Genomic DNA, 22,667 nt, shown 5'->3' on the forward strand with positions numbered 1-22,667 from the left:
CCAGGCGGGTCTTGAACTCATGAGCTCTGGTGATTTACCTGTCTTGGCCTTCCAAAATGCTGGGATTACAGGTGTGAGCCACCGCACCTGGCCTTTTTGTATTTTCGTCGAGATGGGGTTTTGCCATATTGCCCAGGCAGGTCTCGAACTCATGAGCTCAAGTGATCTGCCCACCACAGCCTCCCAAAATGCTGGAATTACAGGCGTGATCCACCACGCTTGGCCTTAATTTTTAATACAACATTCCCAGTGGTAATTCTGAAAGTGATTTAAATGCTTTAAATATAGCATAAATGACCAGGTTTTTATTTGTTGTTGTTTTTTTTCCAGGCTTAATTCACTTTATTTTTCTTGTGTAAAAACCCTATGTTGTAGCCACAGCTGGAGCCCGGGTCCTCTGTACGGAGACTCTAGTGTGGGTCTTGACGAGGTGGTCAGTGAATTCCCGATAGGGAGACTTGGTGAATACAGTCTCCTTCCAGAGGTCCGGGGTCAGGTAGTTGTAGGTCTTAGAGATGGCATCAAAGGTGGCCTTGGTGAAGTTGCCCAGGGTGGCAGTGCAGCCCCTGGCTGAGGTGTAGCAGTCATCGATACCAGTCATCATGAGCAGCTTCTTGGGCACACGTGCCAAGACGATGCCCGTGCTCCTGGGGGTGCGACGAGGCGCACCAGCACAGAGCCGCAGTGGCCTGTCACCTTGCAAGGGACGGCGTAGGGCTTGCCAATCTTGTTCCCCCAGTAGCCTCTGCGCACGGGGACAATCGAGAGTTTGGCCAGGATGTTGATGGCCCTGCAGATGGCAGTGGCCACCTCCTTGGAGCATTTAACACCCAGACCGACGTGGCCATTGTAGTCCTCGATGGCAACAAACGCCTCGAACCTGGTGCCCTGGCTGGCACGGGTCTGCTTCTGCACCGGCATAATCTTCAAAACCTTGTGCTTGAGAGAGGCCCCCAGGAAAAAGTCAATGATCTCAGATTCCCTGATGGGCAGGGAGAAGAGATAGATCTCCTCCAGGGACTTGATCTTCATGTCCTTGACCAGGAGCCCCAGCTTGGTGATGGGAATCTACTCCTTATCCTTGGCCTTGCCTCCACGAGCTCCGTGGCCTCGGTCCCGGCCCCATCCACGGCTGCGACCCCAGCCCTGGATGCCACTGCTGAAACCTCTGCTTCTTTTTTTTTTTTTTCAAACAAACTAGAGGTGGTAGGTCTTTTTCCTCCCCTCTCCCCTCAAGATCTGTTTGTGGAGGATCTGCTTCCTTAATGAAAAGGAAAATTTATGTTTCTTTCTAAATCAGGTGTATAAACGCTTACATATGGAATCTGGACAATATCCCTGGGAACATATATACTTGGAAAAATCTGGGGATTATCAGAACAGCATTGCTGCCTCTCTAGCTTTTTTTTTTTTTTTTTTTCCTGAGAGTCTGGCCCTGTTGCCCAGGCTGGAGTGCAGTGGCATGATCTCGGCTCACTGCAACCTCCACCTTCTGGATTCAAGTGATTCTCATGCCTCAGCCTCCCGAGTAGCTGGGATTACAGGTGCACACCACCATGCCAGCTAATTTTTATATTTTAGTAGAGATAGGGTTTCACCAGGTTGGCCAGGCTGTTTTTGAACTCCTGGACTCAAGTGATCCACCCGCTTCAGCCTCCCAAAGTGTTGGGATTACAGGCGTGAGCCACAGCACCTGGTCGCCTCCTCCTTAGCTTTTAAATAGGAGGATGGAAGGGGTTAGTGGCTAGTGAGACCAATTAAAGCATTCAGGTAAAAAATACAACTTACCTGGTCTGAAGTTCAAATGCTTCAATATCAAATGGAAAAAAATTCAGAACAGCAATTCTTCCAAAATTCTAAGGTTTTATATATAAAGGACCAGAAGAAATCTAACCGAGATCCTCAACTGAAACTATCAGGTAAAATGTATACATCATCTGTTTATGTGCGGAATGTCAGTATAACCTCAGAGAACTATGAAGAAGGTACCCTTGGGGAACCAGATATTAGTTTGCCTCACTGCCAAATTTTCAAGTGAGTAAAAACTAGAAATAAGTGATATGACAAAGAAAGTACTACCAGTTGAAGGATATCTAGCTTCCCACACTTGTGTAATTTAAGCCAATAAACAAATGGACAAAGTAGGAAGCAGAAGTAGGATGCAGACTTTTGGAAAACATAAATAAGTTTTATCAAAGTCTGTATCTAAGATCATTTAGATCAAAAATTTCTTTCTTTTTTTTTTTTTTAAAGGGATAGGATCCTGCTATGTTGCCCAGGCTGGACTCCTGGCCTTAAGTGATTCTCCTGCCTCAGCCTCCCAAGTAGCTGGGACTACAAGTGCATGCTACCATGGCTGGCTAATTAAAAAAAAAAAAAAAAGTTAGCGGTGTTTTGCTATGTTGCCCAGGCTGGTCTCAAACCTGGGATTACAGGTGTGAGCCACCACAACTGGCCTGAAATTTCTTAAATATAATTGTCATAAGACTGACATAATCACCCACCAGGGATAGAGTGGTAATTTAGAAATAGGAAATGAAGAAAGGGCATACAAAAAAACATTTGCTGAAAGTAATAGGGTGGAACGTGGCAAATCAGTGCTTGGGAGCTTTTAACATAAGGCTAAGCAAAAGAAAATACACAGCCAGGCACGGTGGCTCATGCCTGTAATCTCAGCACTTTGGGAGGCCAAGGCAGGTGGATCACTTGAGGTCAGGAGTTCGAGACCAGCCTGGCCAACACGGTGAAAACTCGTCTCTACTAAAAACATAAAATTAGCCAGGTGTGGTGGTGGGCACCTGTAATCCCAGCTACCTGGGAGGCTGAGGCAGGAGAACTGCTTGCATCCTGGAGGTGGAGGTTACAGTGAGTCGAGATCATGCCATTGCACTCCAGCCTGGGTGACAGAGCGAGACTCTGTCTCAAATAAATAAATAAAAACAAAATACAGTGAAATCTCATTGTTTGAGGATTATCCTAAGCTTCAAATAGGTCAATGACCATTTCTTCATTTTTTTTTTTTTTCTTCTTGTAGTTCCTAAGTAAAGCCATTCCCTCAGGCCTCAGTCCCTTCTTTAGAAAATCTCTGTCTGGTGAGAATCCCTTCTACAGAGATGACAACTAAATCTACTTCTAACTTCAACCTTACCTTTCCTTTGCCTGATGGGCAATTTCATCTAGGTTTTACTTCCTTATCTAAAGCTTAGTAAATTCAAAGTCAAGTTCATCTTTTCTCCCCAAAATCTGTTCTTTCTCTTTCTTTCTGTGTGTGTTTTAAGGACACCACTATTTTTACAAGTTTACAGACTCAAAAATCCTACTTAGAGATAGCACTGACTCCTTCTTCTTCTCCTCTGACCTTCACAGCCAATCAGCAACGAAGCCATAATTCATGTACTTTCATTTTATTTCTGGCTTAAGTTCCCTCTTTATTTTCACTGTTAGGATCCTTATTGCTTCTCATCTAAACCATCAATAGATTCCTAATTAATGTCTTGCCTCTTCATCCCTTCAATTCATCTATCTAGGCCCCTTCTGTCTCATAATACTAACCATAGTCTGCCTATTTATCTTTTCAAGCATTCTCTCTTGCAAGTGATTATAAGCTCTCTGAGAATGGAGAATTAGTCTTTGCCATTTTTATACTACCTGTTTCCTGTTTTCAAGTAGCCCCGTCCCCTTGCTTTGCCAGCAGAATGTGATATAAAACAGACATTTTTATTAATAATTTTAAAAGTTGCATTAGTGAACTGTATGAATTATTTACATGGCCAGAAAGGAAGTAGACAAACATTGATTAAGCAAAGACAAAATAATCTGTTACGGGAAAAATATTCTGGAAAAGTAAGAGGGGTGATCCTTTGTGCTGAAAAGTCTCATTTCCAGTATTACTTAAATTAAAATTGTATTATTTTTATATTAGGAAAAGAAAAAATCAAACTTGGTTAAGTTGGCAAGGCTGATTTTTATAATGAGTAATTATTTCATGAATAGACCACAAAACAGAAGAAATTTAAATCAAAATTCATGTCTGTTAAGAGATTAGATACACATATGGATAGATATATGTATAAATCACATAAGAGCTAACTAGGGAAGAAGTCAGGTGTGGAATTATAATAATCTAGCCTGGAAGATAAAACCTCTAATTATTCAATAGAGAGATAAAAGGGGACAAAGATTTAAGAAAAGTAAAGTGCTGGGGTACTCTAAATTTAGATCGAAGTTTTTATTAAAATTGAGTGATACACACAAAACCCAGCCAGAAGTTTCCTAAAGAACTGGCATAAAAAATATTATTTAAGTGGTATTGGGAAGAAATAGGATAATTTAGGAATCAGACTTAGTATCAGTTGTGTCCTAAACATAGAAGTCTCATGTGCTGTAATAGACAAAAAGACAAAAAAAAGTCTATACTGGAGATAGAAAAGAAAACCTAACACACCTTAGCTACAAAACCACATGTATGTATCTAGATTACTAGGTGCAATTCTGGTATATAATGGCTAAAATGAAAAGCCAGGATTGGGGTAGGGTTGTTCCACTTTCAATACTCAATCTTTTAATCTTGATGATGAATAAAAATAACCCTTGGCTGGGTGCTGTGGCTCATGCCTGTAATCCCAGCACTTTGGGAGGCTGAGGTGCCAGGACTGCTTGAGCCCAGGAGCTTAAGACCAGCCTGGGCAACATAGGGAGACCCCATATCTACCAAAACCAAAAAAATATAAAAGAACCCATCCATATTCCTCTGAAGAAGGAGAAAAAAGAACTTCCTTGTTTACATATATGTATACATACACACACATACCTTTCTGAGGAACTGATTTAACTGCATCTTTAAAAAAACTTTAATGATTTTATCTGAATAGTTCAGTGCCACATGACATTCTGTTACAACAGATCACATGTATGACAATAGTCTCATAAGATTATTTGTTTCTTTTGCTTTTTTTGAGATGGAGTTTCACTCTTGCTGCCCAGGCTGGAGTACAATGGCACGATCTCAGCTCACTGCAACCTCTGCCTCCTGGATTCAAGTGATTCTCCTGTTTCAGCCTCCCCAGTAGCTGGATTACAGGCTCGTGTCACCACGCCCAGCTGATTTTTGTATTTTTAGTTGAGGTGGGGTTTCACCGTGTTGGCCAGGCTAGTCTCGAACTCTTGACCTCAGGTGATCTGCCCGCCTCGGCCTCCCAAAATGCTGGGATTATAGGTGTGAGCCACCCTGCCTGGCCCCCATAAGATTATAATGCCATATTTCTACTGTATCTTTTCTTTGTTTAGATACACAAATATTTACCATACTGTTATAACTGCCTACAGTATTCAGTAAGGTAACATGCTGTACAGGTTTGTGGCCCAGGAGCAATAGGTTATACAATATAGCCTAGGTGTGTAGTAGGCTACACCATCTAGGTTTGTGCATATGCACTTTATGATGTTCACAAATGACAAAATCACCTAAGGACACATTTCTCAGAACAAATCCCCATCATAAAGTGACACATGACTGTATAACATATTTGTGATTTTAACTTAATTTTTTTAAACTTTACTTTGGAATAATTTTAGACTTACATAGAACTTGCAAAAACAGTACACAGTTCCCATGTACCCTACACCCAGCTTCCCCCAATAATATCTGACATAACCATAGTACAGTTATCAAAACTAGGAAATTGACATTAGTACAAAACTGTAAACTACGCTGGACACGGTGGCTCATGACTGTAATCCCAGCACTTCGGGAGGCCGAGGCAGGTGGATCATGTGAGGTTGGGAATTTGAGACCAGCCTGGCCAATATGGTGAAACCCCGTCTCTACTAAAAATACAAAAATTAGCTGGGCATGGTGGCGCTCACATGTAATCCCAGCTACTCCGGAGGCTGAGGCACGAGAACTGCTTGAACCTGGGAGGTGGAGACTGCAGTGAGCTGAGATTGTGCAACTGTACTCCAGCCTGAGCGACAGAGCGCAAGATTCCATTTCAAACAACAACAACAACAACAACTGTAAACTAAACCACAGAGCTTATTTGAATTTTAGCAGTTTTTACACGTTTATATAGAGAATATTATCACATTTACAAATTTCTATAACCACTACTACAATCAGGATATAAAACTGTTTTAATATCCCAAAGAAACCCCTAAATAGTTACATCCTCACCCTAACCCAACCTGAGAACCACTGATCTGTTCTCCTTCACTATAATTCTGTCAGATTAATGTTATATAAATGGAATTATAGAAACTTCTGAAATTGGCTTTTTTCACTTGCCATAATAACCTTGTAATCTATCTAAGTTACTATACATATCAATATAGTAGTTTGTTTCTCTTTATTGCTAAGTAGTCCATCATATGGACTAGTTTATCTATTTACTTACTGAATTTTGGGTTGTTTCCAGTTTTGGGCTTTTATGAATAAAGTTGCTATGAACTCCTGTGTAAAATATCACCTTACATTCCCACCAGCAGTGTACGAGGAATCCTGCTGCACTGCATCCTCTCACCAGCACTTGGTATTGTCAGTAGTTTTTATTTTTAGCCATTGTATCTAATGGTGGTTTTTAATCACTTTCCTTAATGGCTAACGATTTAGAACATCTTTTCACCTGCTTATTTACCATCCATATACTCTCTTTGGTGAAATGTCCATTCAATTGTTTTACTTATTTTCTAATTGAACTGATTTTTCTTTTATTACTGAGAGAGTTCTTTATATAGTCTAGATACAATCTGTGTTGTTTATGGGATTTGCAAATATTTTCTCCCAGGCTGTGACTTGTGTGTATTTTCATTAATGTCTTTTGCCAAGCAAAGAGTTTTAATTTTGATAAAATTTATCAACTTTTTATTTTATGTACTGTCATTTGGGTGTTATGTTTAAGAAGTCTTTGCCTAACCCTAGCTCATAAAGATTTTTTTCTAAAAGTTTAATAGTTTTATGTTTTACATTTAGATCCATGATTCATTTGAGTTAAATTTTTAATAAGGTATGGGGTTTAAGTCAATGCTCATTTCTCTGCCTATGGATATCCAATTGCACTGGCACCATTATTTGCTAAAAAGGATATCATTCCTCCATTAAATTGTTTTTCACCTTCTTCAAAAGTCAACTGACCATCCAAGATCCTGTTTTTAATTATTTTGTGTATGTTCCCACAAGTGGAATTACTGGCTCAAATAGTAATTCTAGTTTCAATTTTCTGAGAAATAGTATTATTTTTATATATCACTGATACATCTGATTTCCTAATTTTTTTTGAAGATTTTTGTGTATACATGTATTCTTAAGGAATAGTGGCCTATAGTTTTCCTTTTTAGAACAGTATTTCATTTTGGAATCAAGGAAATGTGGCCTCATGAGTAGAGGAGTATTTCTTCTTGTTCTGTTTTCTGGAAGAGATTATGTAGCATTAGGGAAGACTTTTAACTACAAATTAAAGTTTCTTTCATAATTTTAGGATTATTCAGATTTCTATTTCTTAGGTGAGTTTTGGTAGTGTGGCTTATTAAGAAATTGGCCCATTTCATCTAAGTTGTTAAATTCATGTGCATAGAGTTGTTTTAAGTTTTCAGCATACACATCCTTTCACTGTCCTCAGGGTAGGTAGTGATATTCCTTCTTTCATTCCTGATATAAGTAATGGTGTTCTCTCTCTTTCTTTTTTGGGGTCACTTTCGGCAGTTTTACCAATCTTTCCAAGGACCAGCTTTGGTTTCTATGATTTTCTCTATTGTTTTTCTGTTTGCAATTTCACTGATTTCTACTTTTTATTATTTCCTTCTTTCTGTTTGCTTGGATTTACTGTGCTCTTCTTTTTCTAGTTTCTTACAGTGAAAGCTTAGATAGCAGAGTTGAAACTGTTCTTTTATAACAAACATTTAGTGCTATAAATTTCGCTGTAAGACTTTAGCAACATCATAGTTTTTAATATGTCATATTTATTATCCCTTTCATTCAGTTCAATATATTTTTAAAATCTCCTGTGAGACTTCCTCTTCAACCCATGAATTATTTATTTATTTAATTTTTTTGAGATGGAGTCTCACTCTGTCACCCAGGTTGGAGTGCAATGGTGTGATCTCGACTCACTGTAACCTCTGCCTCCCAGGTTCAAGCAATTCTCGTGCCTCAGACTCCCAAGTAGCTGAGATTACAGACGTGCACCACCATGCCCGGCTAACTTTTTTATTTTTAGTAGAGACAAGGTTTCACCATGTTGGCCTGGCTGGTCTCAAATTCCCCACCTCAGGTGATCCACCCACCTTGGCCTCCCAAAGGGCTGGGATTACAGGCGTGAGCCACTGTGCCCAGACCCATTAATTATTTAGAAGTATGTGGTTTCATTTCCAAATGTTTTGAGATTTTCTTATCCATGTGTGACTTTTTATTATCTAATGCAACTTTTTTCAACAGAGTAATATTTATAATACTTCATTTTAGTTAATTTTCTAAAAATAAAAGAATATGATGCTCTTTAGGATTATTTCTCCAACATTCCTTATTAAAATTTTGCCAACTTCTTTCATAAATTGTCTACCCTCCAGTGTTTGTACATCACTCCTCTCAAATAATTTGTAGTCTTTGAACATCTATTTTCCTCTGGAAGTCACTCTATAGATATGAGATGTTGTCAAATTTTACTTTTTCTATCAAGTTTTTCCTAGTTATCACAACCCCTCTTCTTAACCAGGCAGGACTAATTATTCTCTCATTTGAACAATATAATGCTCAAATTTTATGACAGAACGTTTAATGTGATAATAAAAACGAACTTTGAGTGTGGAAAAAGCAACATTTTGTTTTTTCCTATTCTCTCTTAACAGTAACAATCATCAATACAGAAGACTTCTGTGACCAAATGTCTGGGTTTTCTAATTCCCCCTAAACACACCAAGCATCAAACGCCAGCTGAATGTCCGCTAATTCAATTCTGATACCATCTACCTGTAGACAGCCTCAGGTCCCACAGGTTAAGGGCTCAGTCTTCAAGACTGCCCTGCCCCACCTTCAGAAACCAGTCACAAGTCTGGGCCTAAGGAACTTCTGATCAACTAGCTATAAATTGGGATTCCCACAATGCTCTATTCAGGTTTGATGAATTTGCTAGAGCAGTTGACTTATAAAGGATATCACAAAGGATACAGATGAAGAGTGCATAGGGCGAGGCATGGGGAAAGAGAGGTGCGGAGCTTCCATGGCCTCTCCAGGCAAGCCACCTGCCAGGAACCTCCATGTGTTCAGTTTTCTGGAAGCTTTCTGAACCCTGTCCTTTTGAGTTTTTACGGAGGCTTCACTACATAGGCATTACTGATTAAACCATTGGCTGTTGGTGATAATCTTATCACCAATTTAATGGTGAAACTTAATCTTCAGCTCCTCTCACCTCCTGGGAGGTTGCGGGGTGGGGATGAAAAGTCCCAATCCTCTAATCCTGCCTTGGTCTTTTGCTGCCAGTCCCCATCCTGAAGCTACCTAGGGGATGCCAGCTACCAGTCAATTCGTTTGCATACAAAAAGATATCACTTTGGAGTTTCTAAGTGTATACGAGGAAATGAGGTCAAAGACCAAATATATATATTTCACTATATCACACTTACAAACTTTTGTTTACTGTTTCTCTTCTCCTACTCTATTATAAACCTTTGAGGGTGGGGACTGTGAGTTATTTATCTTTATATTCAAGCCAAGTATGACTGTGAGTTATTTATCTTTATATTCAAGCCAAGTGTGTTTAGCTATAATGGAAATGAATCTCAAAGTTTCTTGACTAAATGACAAGAAGAATCATAGTTTCATGAACTAAATTTATTATTCTCAGTCCTTAAGGTAAATGAATATATTGATATTATGTCTTTGCTTACTCATGTTCGCAAGAGTGGTGTTAATGGATAAACATACCACCGTTACACCTGAAAACGGGCCCCCAAACTTAGTCAAATAATGTATTCTGTTCAGAAATACATTTTCAAGGTTTTGAAAAATAACCAATATTCAAACTAGCCTCAATTTATCTTAAAACAGATGCTATCCTAGTTCTTTAGACAAGCAGTCCCCAGTCACTTCTCCCACGGGGGAGAAGTGACAACAGATAACATTTACACATGTGAAGCATTCCCATGGGCAGAGTTACTTGTTCTTTTTCTTTTTTTTTTTCTTTTTTTTTTTTTGGAAACAGGGTCTCGCTCTGTTACCCAGGCTGGAGTGCAGTGGCACAATCACAGCTCACAGCAGCTCCAACCTCCTGGGCTCAAGAGATCCTCCACCTCAGTCTCCTGAGTAGCTGGAACTACAGGTATGTGCCACCACACCCAGCTAATTTTTTATTTTTTTGTAGAGATGGGGTCTTGGTATGCTGCCCAGGCTAGTCTTCAACTCCTGGCCTCAAGTGATCCTCCCACCTCCACCTCCCGAAGTGTTGAGATTACAGGCGTGAGACAATGCACCTGGCTATCTTTTCTTCTATCTCCTCAGTGGATCACATAAAGATACTCTTTTCACCCAAGGTAAAATAAACTAACATGGGGCCGGGTACGGTGGCTCACACCTGTAATCCCAGCACTTTGGGAGGCTGAGGCAGGTGAATCACCTTGAGGTCAGGAGTTTGAGACCAGCCTGGCCAACATGGTAAAACCCTGTCTACCAAAAATACAAAAATTAGCTGGGCGTGGTGTCGGGCACCTGAAATCCCAGCTACTTGGGAGGCTGAGGCAGGAGAATTGCTTGAACCCTGGAGGTGGAGGTTGCAGTGAACTGAGATCACACCATTGCACTCCAGCCTGGGTGACAAGAGTGAAACTCCATCTCAAAAAAAAAAAAAAAAAATAGAAACAAACAAAAAAACCTAACATGTATGATCAATTGTTAGGCAGGGCAGCTGTAGCTATTATCAGTAAGGATAAGTGGAGAGTTCAAACTTAGATTAGCATCTCTGCTATTTTAATAAGGTCATAGAATCAGACTATGTACTACTCAGCCAAGTAATATTTGATAAACACTGATCAACATAGGTTTTTTAAACTATAAAACATACTTGTATGGAAATGCTTTTCTGACAGTTTGAATCATTCTTACTTACCAATATACATGTCCCAACAATGAAAGAGTAAAGCAAGCTGAATCACCAAACTCAGTAACAATATCATCATGGCTTTTCTGCTTATTAAACACTCCACCAGATAAGATTTGTTCCCCTTCTGCAAGCCTTTAAAATACAAATTTAAAGATTTTTAAAAACCAATATAAAAAGCAGTTCATGTAAACATATTCTTCATTACCAAAGTGCATCTAACTATGGAGACACAAATTTTTTCTCTCTCTCTCTTTCCTTTTCCTTCCTTCCTTCATCCCTCCCTCTCTCTGTCTTCCTTTCTTTAAAGAGATAGGGTCTTGCTTTGTTACCCAGGCTAGAGTGCAGTAGTACAATCATAGTTCACATGGCCTCAAATTCCTGGACTCAGGTGAGCCTCTTGCATCAGCCTTGTGAGTAGCTGGGACTACAGGTGCACACCACCACACCCAGCTAATTTTTAATTTTTTTGTAGAGACAGGGTCTCACTATGTTGACCAGGCTGGTTTCAAACTCCTGGGCTCATGCAATCCTCTCATCTCATGGGATCACAAGCATGAGACACTGCACCTGGCCAATTTGTTTTTTGTAAAAAAAATTTTTTTTAATTACAATAGTGGCAAACACTTATTTAGAATCATTTGAGAGGCTGGAAATTTATGATCTTAAAATTTCACTTTTACCTTTAAAAACAGAATCAATTACATTTAGTCTCTGTATGTACAAATCCAGTCTGAGCAACATATTCATTACTCATGTCAGAAGGAACAGAAGATGATTACTATACTGGGGGAGAAAATATAAATGGTTCTTCATTAACAAACATGGTGGTCCTTTTTACTTCCTTAAAATAGAAATGTATATGCAAATTAAACAAGACTAACATAGTTTAATTAAAAATTGCATACTTATGCCCGGCACAGTGGCTCAAGCCTATAACCCCAGCATTGTGGGAGGCCAAGGTGGGAGGACAGCTTGAACCCAAGAGTTCAAAACCAGCCTGGGCAACATAGTGAGACCCCATCTATACAAAAAATAAGAAAATTAGCCAGGTGTAGTGACACGTGTCTGCAGCTCCAGCTACGTGGGAGGCTGAGATGGGAGGATCGCTTAGGCCCAGATGGGGACTGCAGTGAGCCATCATCACCCCACTGCACTCCAGCCTGAGCAACACAGCAGGACCCTTTCTCTAAAAAAAGGAAAAAAGAAAAAGGAACTGGCAAATTACATAAGAAAGATTTTTAAGAATTCCACATTAGGATCTTTGAAATTTAAAAGTAATTCAACAACAAATGTCTCAGAAATTTCAGATATTTTAGCTAGCTTTAATTAAAAAGCCATCAATTAGTCACTGGACAGATAATATAGTTATTGATCAGTCTATGGTGAGACTTACTTGTATCTTCCCCTTGTAAACCTACAAGCCAATTATACATACAGGCTTTTACAAATATCTAACACCGTTTACACATGTGACCGTTTAGTCCCTTTTACCATTATTCCATCTCTTACAGTACAGAAAAGAATTGAATAGAACCTAACTATCTGTATCTCTAAATGCCTCCAAATTTGGTATAGGGACAGCTGACTTGGTTTAACTGTAATGTGCAAAAGAAGTACTCAATAAAATGATCTTGAAAGGAAACTATACAATCACCTAAACACAAGGGAGCCTTAATCTCAAGTGAGCTGGTGGGTTTTCAGGCTTACTCAAATTGGTCTAACACTGAAAGCAAAGAAAACGAAATATTTGTGATCATTTAAGAAACCAATAAGAATCGGTTATAACTTAAGTTTCTCCAGAGTTAAACTCTATTATTTATTACCATAACAATGAAATCTCCATAATATAAATAATGCCATAGGCAACAGTGTAAACATTTCGAATGTTACTGAAATAGATGGAAAACAGGGAAGAAAGGGAATCAGAGTTTAATCTGAAAGGAATTTTATCCAAAATTCAACAGTGTAAGTAAAACAAAATAGCTAGAAAATATTTTAAAACTTACTTGCTGAGATCAACACAACATTTTGCAAGCAGGTATTTGCATTGCGGTGTAGTACAACTGTGTCCTTTCAAGAGTCTATATGCTTTATATGCCTTTCCTGAGCGGTAATAACAGGTTGCCAGTAAAAACAAGGCTTCTTCTGAGTGTACTAAAAACAGACATTTTTTAAAAAGGCTATTGTTCAGTATATTGAATGATAATCAGTTTATCATGCAATAAACAAGTTTAGCAAAAAAAAAAATTAGGCTTGCTATTTTAACACAAAACAATCACTTATTAATTCAAATTTGAATTATGGAGAAACGGTTTGCTTATAGCAAAGTCAGTTCCTTAGATCTTGATTACTTTTCTCTACAAGAAACCAAGGAAATAATACAATGAAGACAATCATGGTATTCTCTGTAAATATTTAAGAAAAGCATACACACACAGAAACACCCCTGCCTTTAAACAGACTACCAGTAAAGGATCTTGTTTTTAGGTAATATTTTTCTAATAAATCTTTCGGGAGGATAGAAGTCAAATTTCATTAGCAAGAGAAACCTGAGTGTAAATAAATCTAACTACCAATATGAAATAATTTCTATATTTTAAAAAGACCAGATTGAAAAAAATCCACTTGTTTTGCTTTAACATCAAATATACATTAAATTATATTTAAGATAAATTATAAATTGTGAATGCTCACACCATTTTAACATTCAGTTGACAGACTATAGTAACAATAATTAAATTACATTACAATAGCAAGAGCTGAGTTATCTATCAATCTGTCCCTCCTTTTTACATTAGGAAATGCCCCCTGCCTTCTTAATGCAAGTGGCATTTTTCACCCTTATTTAGTCTATGTCTCTACTAAACTGATCATCACTTCACTTCTATCCCCACAATCCAGGGTCTACAGAGGCAACAACAAAGAGGATGGAAAGAGAGGGAAAACCACAAAACTGTGCTTCTAAAAATGGGTTATGCAATAATACCAGTGAGCTGAAGGATCTTCTAAGCCAGTGGTTCTCAAAGTGTGGTCCTTGTACCAGTATCAGCATAACTTGGAAACTTGCTAGAAATGAAAATTTTTGTGTCCCATCTCATACCCACTAAATTAGTAATTCTGGGAGTAGGAACCAGTAATCTACGTGGTTAACAAACTCTGCAAGTGATTCTGTGGCATTCTCAAGTTTGAGAACCACTGTTGTAAAGTACAAGACAAACTTGCCACATCTTTTTAAATAGTTAACATCATTCTAAGAGTTTGGATAAAAAAGTAATTTGAAATTTTATTTCTAAGTTTTTTGTCACAGATATGTGCAAGCAAAAACCAACAGAACCCTTCTTCTCTGGTCCATCTTATGGTTTTTTATGAAACCACAGTGTAAAAAATAATAAATAGTAAATGATAAGAAATTTTGGCAGATGTGTTTTAATGAGATGTATAGTAGTATTAGTGCTGCAGCTACAAAAAAAAAAAAAGAATGGGGCGCTCACTGCAGTAGGAATAAACTATTAATTTTACTGAGCTACAACTTCTAATTTACATAAGTTAGAAAGTTTGATTTCCTCTAGATTTTACAATGGTCTGGTTTCTTTTCACCTTATAAGTTTTTAAAAACTATTGATTATACCAATAAACAATGGCTCCCACAAACTAATTTAACTCCCAGTCACAGTAATGCTGTCTCAATTGTTTACAAATATTTGATTATGTGTAGGTCCACTTTCACTGCAATAAAATTGCCTAATAAAGACACCAACTATTCTTTTTGTGTGTACATGTGCGTGTGTAATTTTAGTGTAATACTGCAATTAGCTTTTTGAAGCATAGTAACTTAAAAATTATATGTTCAAATGGGAATACGGATTGGTGATTTAGGCAAAACTTAAAAATAATGAAACTGGCCAGGCGTGGTGGCTCATGCCTGTAATCCTAGCACTTTGGGAGGCTGAGGCAGGCAGATCACCTGAGGTCAGGAATTCAAGCCCAGCCTGGCCAACATGGCGAAACCCCGTCTTCTACTAAAAATACAAAAATTAGCCAGGCGCGGTGGCGCAAGCCTGTAATCCCAGCTACTCCGGAGGCTGAGGCAGGAGAATCGCCTGGACCCAGGAGGCAGAGACTGCAGTGAGCCGAGATCGTGCCACCGCATTCCAGCCTGGGTGACAGAGTGAGATTCTGTTTAAATAAATAAATAAATATAATGAAACTGTCAGATAAGGAAGCAAATCCAGAGCAATCTGAAGTGTTGTGACACGGGTGGTTTCTTAGGCTCCTCACAAGTAACTTGGCAGCAGAAAAAGATAACAGTACCCCAAACACAACTAAAGAAGCAGTGGTAAGCAGCCATAAATCTAAAAAGCACAGAATATGTTTACTGGATAGGATTGACAAAGATTTCATCTAGAACAGTAACTCCAACTTACGGATAATGGCTGTCTGAAATGCCATGTTCAGAAAACTTCTTGAGGCTGATCATGGCCTAGCTACCAAGAGTAGTGATCAAAATAACAGGATCCAGAAACAGTTATAGATGTTTGCATGTCACTTATTTACCATCCTTTATTTACAGACTTAATTAAAATATGGGATTAGAATTATAAGGTCCATAATATATTGCATAATCATGAATGAAGTTAGCATTGACTCCATTAAGTCACTCTTAAAGTAATATTGAGAAATCAATCGTGTACTAGTTAAATTATGCTATGTCCATGTGATGAAAAATACAGACATAGAAAGATTTCCAGAATGTACTGCTAAAGTGAAAAAACAAACAAATTAAGCCTGTAATCCCAGCACTTTGGGAGGCCGAGGCAGGTGGATCACCTGAGGTCAAGAGTTCAAGGCCAGCCTGGCCAACATGGTGAAACCCCATCTCTACTAAAAATACAAAAATCAGCCGGGTGTGGTGGCGTGCACCTGTGATCCCAGCTACTCGGGAGGCTGAGGCAGAACAATCACTTAAACCCGGGAGGCAGTGGTTGCAGTGAGCCGAGATCATGCCACTGCACTCCAGCCTGGGCAACAGCGAAACTCGGTCGAAACAGGACTATCGAAACAGGACAGGACAGGACAGGACAGGAAAGGAAAGGAGAGAGAGAAAGAAAGAAAGAGAGAAAGAGAGAGAGAGGAAGGAAGGAAGGAAGGAAGGAAGGAAGGAAGGAAGGAAGGAAGGAAGGAAGGAAGTAAGTTGTAGCAGCACTACTGAAGTTCCTCTTCTTACAAACAGGTTTGGCTTCAAAATTGGAAAGGTCTTTTGAGTGTAAGTCCAAAATAATTAAGAGGGGTTTAACCTTGCATCCTCCAGATACATTTACATCAAACAGAAAGGTAAATTAGTCTTTCAAAGCTTTTAAACCAGATAGACGCCTCTTCTTCACGCTGATTTATAATCTAAATAAGCAGCCTTTCTAAAATGGACCAATTTTGACAAATTTAAAATTTGTTGAGGTGACTGTTCTTTACCTAGCCTTGATAAACTATACAAATATCAGAGAAGCCCTCAGAGGTTAGAGTACTCTGTGGCTACCCTGTCATGAACTCTGATGTTGTGTGAATTTAAGGGCATAGAACCTATGGAACTTTTTATGATTTGTGACACATGTTTCAAATTGATTATCTGGGCCAGGCACAGTGGCTCATGCCTGTAATCTCAGCACTCTGGGAGGCCAAGGTGGGCAGATCACTTGAGTCCACGAGCTGGAGACCAGCCTGGCCAACATGGCGAAACCCCATCTCTACTAAAAATACAAAAATTAATCAGGCATAGTGGTGCATGTCTGTAATTCCAGCTTCTTGGGAGGTAGAGGTACAAGAATCGCTTGAACCTGGGAGGCAGAGGTTGCAGTAAGCTGAGATCACGCCACTGCACTCCAGCCTGGGCAACAGAGCGAGACTCTGTCTCAAAAGAAAAAAAATAAAACAAATCGATTATCTGTTAAGTTTTTTAATCAACTATAAGTAGTATGACATGTGGATTAAAGTACCGACTCTGAAGCTAGACTGCTTGGGTTCAGATTCTGGCACTTCAACCTACTAGCTATGACTTAGGGCAGAGTTACTTAACTTCTCTGACCCTCATTTTTTTTTCATCCGGTAAGGACTATGATACCTACCTTTAAAGGTTGCTGTTAGGATTAAATGACTTAATACATGCACAGCAATTAGGATAGTATCTGACACATAGTGAAGGCTGTATGTGCTATTATTTTAATTATTGGCCTTCTCTTAAATTTACAATACCTGAATAGATATTTGATATTAATGCAGGGGGTACATAAGTGTCCCTGAGCCACATGCTCAAGTAATTCTATTTCATCAACTTTTTTTTTTTCTGTTTTCAATTGTATGGAGGCTATACTTTTCTTATATTTCATTATTCATTCTGTTGTTCAGAGTCATTTCTACTGTTGAACATTTCATCTACATATGCAAATTTAGCATATGAATACTATTCTCAATGTTTATCTTTTCTACATTTATTTACATCCTGCATTTCAATACCAACTGGTTTTATACCTGTTGTTAATGATGGGGTTAATAGTGCTCTTAAGTATTTTAAAACCACGCTTAGAGTAAAAAGACCACAAATAAAAGAGGGCTGGAAGAAGTTTTAAAAGGCTCCTTAGTGTTTGAGGCAGAAAATGGCAATATATGAGGAGAAAAAAGATGGCCAAATTGTGCAGGGCTTTGTAAACTGTGTAAAGATTTAGGAACAGATCCTTACAACAATTAGATACTTCTGAAGGGTTTTAAGAAGGAACATAAATTTGGGAGGGGAAAAGGAACAGGCAGGGAACGGGAGATAAGGAAAATTCAGTTAGTGGTATCTTAGGTTAGATTTGAATATATTGAGTTTGATGTGTCTGTGAAACATCCAAGTTAATTCAATGAAAATAGGTGAGTCTTGGATCAATAAAGGCCTCAAAATGATACATTATTCCACATCTTTAGTAGAATTCTGGATATTCTTTAATACTGATCTTAACACAATCTGGTAAATAAGTTTTTTTTTATATGTTGCCATTTGTACGCATATATTTCTGTGAGTTTGGGCTCTCAGTATCCTGGTTAATAGAAAAGAAACAGATGCTGAACGTTTTACTCTGGTTCAGTTCTCTCCCACTGAGCCTAATTTACTAAAATTGATACACCCGATGCAATCTATACATCTTACCCACTAATCACTAAGACAGGTAGAAAATTGGTGAACGATTTTACGGTCATTTAAAATGCATTCAAGTAGGGCGCAGCAGCACATGCCTGTATTCCTAGCTACCTGGGAGGATCGCTTGAGCCCAAGTGTTTGAGGCCAGCATGGGCAACATAGGGAGATCTTGACTTAAAAAAAAATGTTTAAAAAGTACTAATATTAAAAAATAAAGACCGGATACAGTGGCTCCCGCCTGTATTCCCAGCACTTTGGGAGGCCGAGGTGGACAGATCACTTGAGGCTAGGAGTTTGAGTCCAGCTTAGCCAACATGGTGAAACTCCATCTCTACTAAAAATACAAAAATTAGGTGGGCGTGGCCGCAGGCGCTTATAATCCCAGCTACTCAGGAGGCTGATGCAGGAGAATTGCCTGAACCTGGGAGGCAGTCAGCCGAGATTGGGCCACTGCACTGCAGCCTGGGTGACAGAGGGAGACCCTATCTGAAACAAACAAACAAAAACATTTTGCAGTGTGGGATGTAAAACCCACATTAATTTAAGATAAAACAGTAGACCTTAAGCAATTTTGAACTCTGGGCTAGGACCCTCAAAATAACCTAGGAATACATGTTGACACAAGGTTTTCAGCTGTTTCTCTTTCTTTTCCTTTCACTAGTTACAATCCTCTTAGTCTCATAGAGTTCCATAGGTAGCAATTACTTATGAAAAAAATGCACACAAAACTTATGTCTGGTTGATTTTCTGAACATAACTCTTATTTTATATGTGTGTGTACACACACACACACACACACACATATCTCCAAAGAGCTATCATAGTAGTTGCATTAATGTATTTTTTTCCTCATAGTCTAACACTATTTCTATTTGTTGTATAGCACTTATTTCTATTCATTCTTAACAGTTAATTAACAAAAGAGAAAAACCTTGGTCAAGGGGATCAGGTATTGGTGGTGGGAAAGAAAAATACATGCTTACAATGGGGGAAGGGAATTTATTGGAGGGAGATGGTAAAATTAGGACAGTTTTTCCAAAACAGCAAATCTCAACTCACTAGTGGACTGTGATGTCAATTTAGTGGTTATCAGCCTACGTTAAAACAACAACAACAAAACCACTCAATGGAAAATATTAGAGTGTATCATATCTAATAAGGGTAAAAAAAATCTGGCCAGGCCACAGTGGCTCACGTCTGTAATCCCAGCACTTTGGGAGACGGAGGTGGGAGGACTGCTTGAGACCAGGAGTTTAAGACTGGCCTGGGCAACATTGTGAGATCTCGTGTTCTCAAAAATACAAAAATTAGCTGGGCATGGTAGCATGTGCCTGTAGTCTCATCTAGTAGGGAGGTTGAGGTGGGAGGATTGTTTGGGCCTGGGAGGTCAAGGCTGAAGTGAGAAAAGATCACATGACTGCACTCCAACCTGGGTGACAGGCTATCTCAAAAATAAATAAATAAATAAAAATAAGAAAAAAAAAAAAAAACCCTGAAAAGTCACTGTATTAGGATATGTTAGGGGAGAGGGAACCTGTAAAGGACTTTCTATGTGCCAGAAACTACAGCAGACTCTTTACATATTTTACTGTATTTAGTCCTTAAAACTATCTTGTTAAACAGATATTTCTCTTCTATTTTAAAGATAAGGAAAATAAGGCTCAGAATGACTTTTGGCTTAAGATCAAATGGCAAATGAGTATCTGAATTCAGATTCTCTTTCCTTTTTCCGTTTTTTTTTTGAGACGGAGTCTCGCTCTGTTGCCCAGGCTGGAGTGCAGTGGTGTAATCTCGGCTCACCGCAACCTCCGCCTCCCGGGTTCAAGCAATTCTCCTGCCTCAGCCTCCTGGGTGGCTGGGATTACAGGCATGTGCCACTACACCGGCTAATTTTGTATTTTTTAGTAGAGATGGGGTTTCTCCATGTTGGTCAGGCTGGTCTCAAATTCCCAACCTCAGGTGATCTGCCCACCTCAGCCTCCCAGATTCTCTCTTATATCATTCTGCTGTTCCTTCTTTCTGATCCCACAGTCTCAGGCCGACTATAAATCTCGAGAGAAAGACAAATGGGCGACAAAGAACTAGTGAAACTGAGAAATTATTTCAAGAATTTGACTTACAGAAGATCCTACTGATCAACTGCTTTAGCCTCATGCCTTGTTGGATGTCTTTCTCCAAATATAGAAACTGCTACTAGTGACATAGGAGGCCCCTGAGCAAACAGGTTACATCTAGCATATCAACTGATATTGTCCACCAAGAAAACTGTTGCCAAGAATTCTGAGGTTGGTTCAGTGGGAATGAGTACTGTAATGGATTAGTGATGCCTACTATGGTTGCAAATCAGAGAAGTGGTAATTGCTACTCTTGGGAAAGCGGAATCAGACAGATTACTAGTTACCGCCTGTGGACATTAGTCTCAGTTCTTCATCCAGAAAATGGCAATAGCAATGTCTATTTGATAGGATTATTGAAGATTAAATTAGTAACTAATATTAAATACTTAGAGTACCTAGTATACAGTAAGAAATCAATAAGTGATAGAATTATTGTTATTATTACTGAGCCAGGATAGTATCTGCTCTTACTACACTTAATTCTAAAATCTTTCCTCATATAAATATGGTTAAACCGAATGGTGAGGTTCTATATTGAAAGAAACTAACATTTACTGAGCAACTTTCCAAGTGCCAAGCATTGTATCAGGTACATAAATAACGTGGATTAAACAGCTTTATGTGGACTAATCTGGGAATCTTGCCACCAATTCTATGGGAAAATCTAATTGAATTCTAAACCATGAATTTACAATTTTTAAGAGCCTAACTATAATAAACTAGAAACTGCCTATTCTTTAATAATAAACAAAAACAAAAAGGAAATACTAGAAATAGAAGACAGTGGCCGAGTACAGTGGCTCACATCTGTAACTCCAGCTCTTTGGGAGGCTGAGGCAGGAGGATCACTTCAGTCCAGGAGTTCAAGGCTGCAGTGAGCTATGATTGTGCCACTGTACTCTAGCCTGGGCGACAGAGTGAGATTCTGACTCAACAAAAATTTTTAAAAATACAGCAAAATATGGGGCCTGCCTAGGTATCAATGAAAATATTTTTAAATAGATTATTCACAATAAACATCACTTTTGCATAAGTGAATGGAGTAGATTAATCTATTGTATAATCTTCTTTCTAAGCCTTCCATTCCTTCTCACCTTTCTAATCTTTTCATTGGGACCTTAAACTCCTGCTGCCCAGATCTTCCTCACTTTTCTCACTGAATTCCCATTCTCCACCGAGGAGACAGCTCTCTCACATGGACAGTAATCACCTTACATCCCACTATCTCAGAGTCAAGGTAAGGCTGGTTTCCACTTAACTTCTCAAAACTACTTCCAAGCATTGCTCTTTGTCCTTTTGTGAAATTTCCTGCCCCTGAGGTTTAGGCCTTGTTCTCACAACTCTCAGCTACTAAACCCATACTGTTTGACTTGTAAATTCCATTTAAAAGTACATAACCCAAGGAAATGACTCAAAAAAAAAAAAAAGCTGTACACAATGATCTATATCAGCATCTTAGAAAGGGAATTATAATAATGACAGAAACAAAACATACATTATCAGTGGTGTTTATTAAGCATTGATTACCAAGCCAGATGGCTGTGCTAAGGGCTTTAAATAAACCATCTCATTGAATTTTTAATTCTAAGGGGCAATGATTATTTTATAGATGAAATATCTGAATTTTCAGATATTAAAGTAACTCGTCCAAGGTTATAAAACTGTACATTTAAGTGACAGGTTAGGATTTGTTCCAAGGCTATAGAGTCTAAATCCATGTTCTTCACCATAGAATACAGACTCTTTTCTTAAAAAAAAAAAAAAAAAAAAAAAATACATGGCATGGTGGCCCATGAGTATAATCCCAGCACTTTGGGAGGCCAAGGCAGGTGGATCACCTAAGCTCAGGAATTTGAGACCAGCCTGGGCAACATAGCAAAACCCTATCTCTACCAAAAAAAAAAAAAAAATTAGCCAGGCGTGGTGGTCCGTGCCTGCGGTCCCAGCTACTTGGGAGGCTGATGTGGGAGGATCGCTTGAGCCTGGGAGGTAGAGGTTGCAGTGAGCTGAGATGGTCCCACTGTACTCCAACATGGGTGACAGAGTGAGACCCTGTTTCAAAAAAAAAAAAAAAAAAAAAAAAAAAAAAAACCCAAAACAACAAAAACCCTGGGGGAAAAAAAAACCTAAAGATTGAAAAATGATTAAGTAAATCATAGCATATAAACCTGAATCAATTCTACATAGTTATTAAAAGTAGTATGTAAGGGAACTACACAGAAAAAAAGTAAAGATTTTATGAACTAGTGTCAATCAGAAAAACAACAAGATGATGATAGCTAGAATCTTGTTACAGTG

At 38.7% G+C, this 22,667-nt stretch overlaps 1 protein-coding gene and 1 pseudogene across 18 annotated transcripts in view; both read right to left on the reverse strand.

Annotated features, from left to right (window-relative positions):
- CDC27 (cell division cycle 27) overlaps nt 1-22,667 on the reverse strand; it is a 71,593-nt gene that overhangs the window by 41,124 nt on the left and 7,802 nt on the right. For 8 of the 18 annotated variants that reach the window (NM_001353047.2, NM_001293089.3, NM_001353035.2 and 5 more), the window contains exons 3-4: nt 13,091-13,238; nt 11,091-11,216 (exon numbers count right to left, since the gene is read on the reverse strand). The exons of 4 other annotated variants lie outside the window; for them this stretch is intronic. In NM_001353047.2, coding sequence (NP_001339976.1) covers nt 11,091-11,216; nt 13,091-13,238 — 274 coding nt within the window. The remainder of the gene's footprint in view (nt 1-11,090; nt 11,217-13,090; nt 13,239-22,667) is intronic. 6 more of the 18 variants (XM_017025484.3, NM_001353049.2, NM_001293091.3 and 3 more) reach the window with 1 other exon arrangement.
- Nucleotides 328-1,172, reverse strand: RPS2P47 (ribosomal protein S2 pseudogene 47; annotated as a pseudogene).

The sequence above is a fragment of the Homo sapiens genome, chromosome 17, assembly GCF_000001405.40.
Source record: "Homo sapiens chromosome 17, GRCh38.p14 Primary Assembly".
In the NCBI taxonomy this organism is placed as follows: domain Eukaryota; kingdom Metazoa; phylum Chordata; class Mammalia; order Primates; family Hominidae; genus Homo; species Homo sapiens.